Here is an 8,487-nt window from a genome sequence, read left to right as displayed (position 1 = left end):
CTCTTTTGCCTAGGCTTCAGTGCACTGACACAATCATAACTCACAGCAGCCTTGAACTCCTGGGCTCGGGCAATCCTCCTGCCTCACCCTCTAGGTTGTTACATTGCCCAGGCTGGGCTTGAACTCATAGTCTCTAGTGATCCTTGCACCTCGGCCCCCTGAAGTGCACCCTGGGATTACAGGGCCACTGCAGTCTTTTCTCCCCTTTATTTATTTTGAGACGGAGTTTCATTAGTCAGTCACCCAGGACAGAGTGCAATGGCGCGATCCTGGCTCACTGCCATGTCCACCTTCCAGGTTCAAGCGATTCTCCTGCCTCAGCTTCCCAAGTAGCTGGGATTACAGGTGCCCACCACCATGCCTGGCTAATTTTTGTATTTTTAGTAGAGATGGGGTTTCACCATGTTGGCCAGGGTGGGCTTGAACTCCTGGCCCCAGGTGATCCGCCCGCCTTGGCCTCCCAAAGTGTTGGGATTACAGGCGTGAGCTACCGCGCCCAGCCATTTTTCACCCTTTAATAACTGCTTCTGATACTAAAATAACTAAAAGAATACCCCAGGATCATAAAGCTGTATCTTGTCTCTCTGCCCTTGTTTTAAGTGAAACACCATTACTTCCCACTGCCCTCATCATCCAAAAAACAACTTAGACAATAATAATAATAGAATTAGCGAGGGCAACATATAATACTGAAAGGTAGACAGAAGTAGTCATTAGACATACACCACCTAGAGAAAAGGAAACCAGTCCTGCTTTTTAATAATTTTATTTTTTTTCTAATTTTGTTAATTTCCCATAGCACCTTGGCGATGTTGAAAACAAATACAAATACAAGGATGTACTCATTTTAACATTTTATGCATGAGCATGTGTCACACCAATTTTGGGGGTAACAGTTTTGACAACAGGAACAAATCTAAGCAATCGACAAAACAGAAGCCGGATAACTGGCTCTGACCCCCACCCCCAACATTTAAGAGATGCAAAGGACACCTGAATTAGGTTAAAAAAATCAAGTTGATATGGATATTTCAACAGTGTTCTGTGCTGCAAAACTGAAAATAAAACCATTTAATACACAGCCCATTAATATCTGAGTTACGCTTTTAGGAACTGTCAACTCGAAGATTCATAAAAAGTTGTCAGCTTTTAAAAATAAACTTTAAGTTATCTAATAATCAGGTGAATTTCAAAGGAGGATTTACTCACAACTTGAAAATAAATTCTCTTTCAACTTCTTAAAATATCCTCATTCAGCTAATGAAAAGGGAAACATATATGTATCTTTTCGGAAGCTCAGACTAGCATATGCCCAAAAGCCTAAAGTTAAATTAATGGCCACCAAAATTGTAAGGAAATATAAAAAATTAGGAAAAAATCCATCATATATTATAGTTAATAATTTATAAAAGCCCCTCAGAAGGAATACACTGTTCTCTTTTGAGTTTTATCTTTTCTGTAAAAACAAAATTGGTACTTTTAAAATATGGTTAATATATATATTGCCAGCCTAAATACCAGAGACTTAACCCCAGTGTTGTTCAACTGTGTCAAAGTAAAACCAGTGGACATTTAAGCCAAGAGACTAATTATTAAGGCCATAACTAAGAAAACTAGAGAAGTGTTCATTAACTTTTAAATACTATTTTACGTTCCAGCAACATTCTTTTTGTTCTTCTTTACCCTAGTGAAGATGCTAACATTCCATCATTAAGCCTTTCCAAAGCAAACCTGTTTATTTAAAAAAGAAAAAGGAATGTGAAATAATATTCAAGCTATCTTAATTTTAGGAAACAAAAATAAATCAGAATTCTGCACAGCATCTGATCATCTGCAAATTCAGCACATAAGACAACTACAACAAACCTTTATCATTGAAAGCTCTTATATTCCTCAAAACCCAGCTGAAAAAAATTTAGATGGATCACTATTTTAAATGTCAGTGTATTTGGCAAAATTAAAATTACTCAGAGACAGGCCCTAGGTATTATGAAAACCTTAATTATCAGGATAGCAAATGGAGACAGGTTTTGCAATGTCTCTATGTACCTTCTCTATGAAGTGCAAAGTGGTGAACTTGTGTGACTCTTGTTCTCTTCATGCAGTAAGAACTATGGCAGAGTATCACTATACCCAACATTCAATATCATTTATACCTACTTTTAGCCTCCAACAGATCAAGGAAATGTCAAGTCATAAAGGTGAAGAGAAAAATTTGATTTTTTAAATTCCTCCATCTAAAGAACCAAATAAATAAACTACAATGAACATCCACCCTCATTAGTTACAAAGTAACGTTGGAAAAAAGCCAAGAGCTTCACACAACTCATAGGCATTATTTAGATACAAACTTTAAATCTGCTGTAATAAAATAAATGCTAAATACATACTGTGAATATATATAAATATTACACACACATACACACACACACACTCTCTCACTCTTCCCTATACATGCCATCAAATGGGAACTATTAGATGTAATGAGGCAAATTAAATTAAAAACATTGTCTTAATGAGAAAATTTTTAAAGGTTATATCTACAAATTAAATTTCTACTTTAAATAACATTTGAAGTAAAAGCAAAAATATACTTGCTTTCTTCTAAAAGAAGGCTCTTTTCTTGTATTTCAATTACAACCTTTAAATTTTTAGAGCTGGACTAACAGTAAGTCACACAAGCATACAAGTAATACAGACCTACATTTGTGACACATTGTTTAAAAAAAGTAATGTTTCATTTTAAGTGCAGTAATTAAGTTTATAATCCTTACCAAGTGATTTTTACAAAATGTTTATTCTCTGAAATCCAACGCATTCAAAGGATGTTAACACTTAAAACGTTTATCATTTCCACCAACTGCATTATCTTAGTAAACCAAAATAAGCACTTTTATCATAGATGTAGTCAATGATTAATATGTTTTTTTAAAGGACCTAAACTTCCCCCAAATTTCAGCACAGGTAGTTTTATTGTTATGTTTCACCTAGTAGGCAATTTTTAAAAATAGTGTGTAGAAATGAATAGTTTCAAACTGAGTAAATATAGTAGTATACCATGTCATAAAACAATCAAATCAAAAGCAACTGCCAAGCTAATAATAAGTCAAAGAAATAGTAATTCTGGCTTGTACAGATATGTGCAGTGTTTTCAAAGCTCTTAACAGTTAACCACTAACATGTATCTCCAAAGCTTAACTTAGAGTTGGAAGATGAATTTCACAGTAATGTAATTTTAACCACCATTTACATTCACTTTAATATATTACTAAGATGTTTACTCTATGTCACAATGGTGCTTTCCAGTGTTCACAATTTACAGTTTCAATTTGTACATATGTAATTTACTAACATATGGGACAGTTCTTACTATTACAAACTATCCCTTAAAAGAAAAATAAAACCCACCTTACATAGAACTCTGAACATGGTATGACTTAAAACAGATTAACACAACACGGTTTTTAATATTTTAGTCATTTTCTAAATAACAGCATGTAAACTTGTCTATTTAGTATATGAGAGCTACAACTTTATTCACTGAGAAATTATGCACTAATTTTCTTCAACCATCTTTCTCATCTTTACTAAAAAATCTCATGACTTGCTGGTACTGTTTCAGTGAATTCCAAACTGTATTTTGTTGGGTGTGGGGGGAGAAGAGGAGGGAAGGAAGGTAATACACTGTAAACAGAAATAAGTCCCCCCTCCCAAATTAAGCCTTTAAAAAAAATTTTTTTACTTCTACATTATTTAACACTTAAGAGTCAGTTACTATGCTTAATCTTTAACACTAACGACAAATAAATTACTGTACGGTCAGTCTGCCCTACCATCTTGGGAGCTAAAATTCTAAATGTGTGAACAGAAGAGTTAATACTTCAATGTTCAATTCTGAAATTTAGAACAATTTATATGATTTGACTAGACTGCTCAAAGCAATTACAAACACACAATTGAGTAGGTAGTTGGTTATTTTGCTTTTCTGTGGGTGGGCAGTCAAAGAACAGAGAGTAACAAATGGAGTAAGAAAAAAAATTTTGTTTCTCATTTTGGGGGTATTCGGGGGAATCACAGGGAAGTTTAAACCTCTGAAATCCATTTGACCTATGCACTGAGGTCCAAGATGAAATTTTCAATTTCTTGAATAACCCCCTTTCCTTGAGTATCAAACTGATTGGTAGTCACATCTCTAAGTACAATCAGAGTTTTACAACTTGTTAAATGAAATATTAGTAAGGTCAAAAAGACAGACTAAATTTCAAACTAGAAAAAAAAATCTACTCAAGTATTACATTCAGTTTTCAAATCATTTACTAACATGACAACAGATTTGGCTTCAATCGCTCTTGTACACACTCACACCCACAACAGGCACCCCAGCCACTGATCCGCTTTGCAATACAAGGCCATATAGTCAGAGATGGCATTCTTCAAGCCAAACTTTAAATAGATTAAAAAAAGTAATTTCTAATTTTACAGAAATGCTTCTTCAAAAAATATTTTCTCTCATTCCCTCATCTCCTATACTGAAGGATGTATGTTTCTTTTTTTTCTTCCAAGCTAAATCTGAACCCTCAAAATTGATTCCTGGCAGCAAATCTCTGCAAATTAAAACCAAAAACAAAAATAGAAAAATTATACTTTTTATATATGTGTGTGTATATATATATATATATTTATATTGATTGGAATCCTCCAGCATTTAAAAACCACATTAGAGATGAATTTTGGGATCCTATCACTCACAACTCCAAAATCCATAATGAAATGGACGTACTTTCTCTTGTTTCCTTCCTGGCTACCCCCTCCCCTCCAAAACAGTTCAATATAGCCACAGTTCAAGTTTAATGGGAAGAGAGTGAAGTTTTTGAATAGTTTTGTTGTTTTTTACTTTGGTGATCTGGGTGGCACATATTGCTCTTTGCCATTACGTCGAGTCACTCCCTGAGGTATAGCCCTATGGCTAAACTGGCGTCTCTGTTCCCTGATTTTTCCTGCTGCTCCCCTGGGGATTATATTGCCTCGGAAGCCAGAATAATCCTTACTAGCCCTTGCTTCTGGCTTCTCATGTGGTTTCTCAACGGAGTTCTCAGGAGCTCCATTGTCTTCATTTTTGGTGGGAGACACCACATTGGAGCGAAGTTCCCGTAGTGGCTGCACAAGAACTGAAGATGGCTCTTTAGGGGGCTTCTGGCACACTTCAGCATAACTTAACTTTCGGGGTTCCTTTGAAGTGATGATAAAAAAAAACATTTATGGTACACATTCTTTAAATTATAAAGTATAAAAATGATTGTGTTAACCATAAGAAAACCACAGATTATCTTCCAGAAAAGGGCAACAAGCACTCTCATATATACTGCTTAGAGTACACTGGTACAATCTTTATTTATTATACAATAATTTCACGTAAGGAATTTAACTGAAGGATGTTCATGTCAGCGTTGTTTATAATGATGGGAGCGACCTAAATGCCTAACAAAGGACAGATTAGATGAATAATGGTATAGCCATATGATGAAATAAAATGGTTCTTTCTGCTCCTGTTTCCTTGCTACAAAGAACCCCAAGAAAGATGACAAAAGAATCCCAGCAGAGCAGTTAGAATCCAATGGTATAAAAAGACTCATTAAAAGTCTTAATTACCTCAACTGAAAAAGGTGGAATAGAGGTATTGTGAGAACAGAATAAAACATGTAAAGTCTTCAGCACTAGTCCTAATAATATATAGTAAGCATTCAAATGGTAGCTATTATTTTAGTATTATTACTATCATTGAATGAGAAGATAGTCTTCTAAATCTATTTTTAAAAGTGCTGTACTAAAATGCTAGGGATTATAGGTAAATTTTGTGTTTTGTTCTGCTTTTCTGTATTTTCCCAATTATATAACTATAAAACAATTCTGGAACTTGATAAATGGGAGTGGCCTCTCAATGGCCACTTATAGACTTGTTAAGTATCACATATACAACCAAAAGAATATCAAGAGGCACAAGGCCTCTTTATGTTAGCCCCAAAATGATAAATTCATCCTAACGTGGGTAAGGAAGAAGCTTCACTTAACCATATGAACAGAAAAAAAGCAATCAAAAGAAACAGAATGGGCCAGGCGCGGTGGCTCACGCATGTAATCCCAGCACTTTGGGAGGCCGAGGCGGGTGGATCACGAGGTCAGGAGATTGAGACCATCCTGGCTAACACAGTGAAACCCCGTCTCTACTAAAAATACAAAAAATTAGCCAGGCATAGTGGTGGGCACCTGTAGTCCCAGCTACCCGGGAGGCTGAGGCAGGAGAATGGCGTGAACCCGGGAGGCGGAGCTTGCAGTGACGCGAGATCGTGCCACTGCACTCCAGCCTGGGCGACAGAGTGAAGACTCAGTCTCCAAAACAAAACAAAAAAAAGCCTAAAACTTTCCATCTCTTTGCAGTGACCCTAACACTCCTTAAGCTTCTTTCTGATAGTCAGCCCCAACTTGGGCTACTTCCAAATGACTCTGTTCTAACAAAGTGTTACGTGAAAAAAAAAAAAAAATCTAATCTATTGTATTTTTTTTAACATAAACTAAAATCTTCAAGTTACCTGTAGAGCCACAGCTGTAGCTGCATTTATGTTATTATTACATGGTGAAGCAGTACTTGCCCTCGATGGCTTTGTAGTACTTGGAGGAGAAACTGGTATAGTTGTCTGATTGAGACCATCCTTCTGAACAGAGGAATCTTCTATTAGATCCTTTTCTTGCTGAGTTGTGCTAAGGAAAAAAGAGCTTGCAATTAGACTCAGAATAGCATATAGGAACAGTTGAGCAACTAATCAGAAGAAAACGTAATTTTTTTTTTTGAGACGGAGTCTCACTCTGTCACCCAGGCTGGAGTGTAGTGGCATGCTCTTGGCTCACTGCAACCTCTGCCCGCCCCGCACCCCCCACCCCCCCCACCCCCCCACCCACCCCCACCCCCCGGTTCAAGCAATTTTCCTGCCTTAGCCTCCTGATTAGCTGGGATTACAGGCACCTGCCAACACGCCCAGCTAATTTTTGTATTTTTAGTAGAGACGGGGTTTCACCATGTTGGCCAGACTGGTCTTGAACTCCCGACCTCAGGTGATTCACCTGCCTCGGCCTCCCAAAGTGCTGGGATTACAGGTGAGAGCCACCACACCCGGCCAGAAAAAGTAATTTAATGTTGAAGATCTTCTATACTATAACTTGTACCTTAATGCAGTAAGCTCAGCAGCACATGGAGAACTGGTACTCATATTGAGTTGCTGGGCAGAAGTGCATTCTGTCTGCTCATCTGCAGGCACTGGGCAACTAATTGTCAACTCTTCATTATCCTTAAAGTAAAAAGATTTTTCAAAATTACACTTAGACCTTTTTCCAAAGAAGATATACACGTCTAATAAGCACAAGAGAAGATGGTCAACATCATTAGTCATCATAAAATGCAAAGCTAAACCACGGTGAAAAATCACTTCATACCCACAAGGATGGTTATAATTAAAAAAAAGACAAACATTAACAAATGTTGGGGATGATATGGAGACATTAAAACTCATACATAGAGGGTGGCAATGTAAAATGATGCACTGCTTTAGAAAGCAATGTAGCAGTTCCTTAAAAAGTTAAATAGGCTGGGCGCAGTGGCTCACACCTGTAATCCCAGCACTTTCGGAGGCTGAGGCGGGTGGATCACAAGGTCAGAGTTCAAGACCAGCCTGGCCAACATGGTGAAATCCCATCTCTACTAAAAATACAAAAATTAGCTGGGCACGGTGGTGCATGCCTGTAATCTCAGCTACTTGGGAGGCTGAGGCAGAATTGCTTGAACCAGGACCTGGGAGGCGGAGGTTGCAGTGAGCCAAGATTGCACCACTGCACTCCAGCCTGGGCTACAGTGCGAGACTCCGTCCCAAAAAAAAAAAAAAGTTAAACATAGGGATGGATGCAGGGGCTCATGACTGTAATTCCAGCACTTTGGGAGGCTGAGGCGGGAGGACTGCTTGAGCCCAGGAGTTCAAGACCAGCCTTGGACAACATAGCAAGATCCAGTCTCTACAAAATAAAGTAAAATATTTAGCTAGGGTGGGGGGTGTCCATCTGTTGTCCCTGCTACTTGAGAGGATCACGTGAGTCTGGGAGGTTGAAGCTGCTGCAGTGAACCATGATAGTACCACGGCACTCCCTCCTGGGAACAGAGCAAGACCGTGTCTCAAAAAAAAAAAAGTTTGTAGGCTACATTAAAAAAAAATTAATGAAATCTTGACTCACGCTCAACATGAATGAAAGCTGAGGATGTTAAGTAAAATAAACCAGTCATAGAAAGACAAATACTGTATGATTCTACTTATATGAATTACTAAGAGTAGTCAATTCAGAGACAGAAAGTAGAATAGTGGCTGCTGAAGGATAAGAGAAAGGAGGAACAGGTAATGGTTTAATAGGTATAGAGTTTTAGTCTTGAAAGATTGTAAGTTCTGGAGC

At 37.6% G+C, this 8,487-nt stretch overlaps 1 protein-coding gene across 57 annotated transcripts in view; it reads right to left on the bottom strand.

Annotated features, from left to right (window-relative positions):
- Nucleotides 1–750: 750 nt before the first annotated feature.
- The window catches only part of LARP4 (La ribonucleoprotein 4), a 79,120-nt gene continuing 71,383 nt past the window's right edge, over nt 751–8,487 (bottom strand). For 48 of the 57 annotated variants that reach the window (NM_001352306.2, XM_047428212.1, XM_047428213.1 and 45 more), the window contains 3 exons: nt 7,219–7,340; nt 6,588–6,756; nt 751–5,229 (listed from right to left, as the gene is read on the bottom strand). In NM_001352306.2, coding sequence (NP_001339235.1) covers nt 4,891–5,229; nt 6,588–6,756; nt 7,219–7,340 — 630 coding nt within the window. In that variant the 3' untranslated portion in view covers nt 751–4,890. Of the gene's footprint in view, nt 5,230–6,587; nt 6,757–7,218; nt 7,341–8,487 lie in introns of those variants that run through there. The other 9 variants (XM_047428230.1, XM_047428228.1, XM_047428229.1 and 6 more) reach the window with 3 other exon arrangements.

The sequence above is a fragment of the Homo sapiens genome, chromosome 12 (genome assembly GCF_000001405.40).
Source record: "Homo sapiens chromosome 12, GRCh38.p14 Primary Assembly".
In the NCBI taxonomy this organism is placed as follows: domain Eukaryota; kingdom Metazoa; phylum Chordata; class Mammalia; order Primates; family Hominidae; genus Homo; species Homo sapiens.
This window is presented reverse-complemented; position numbering and strand designations above follow the sequence as displayed.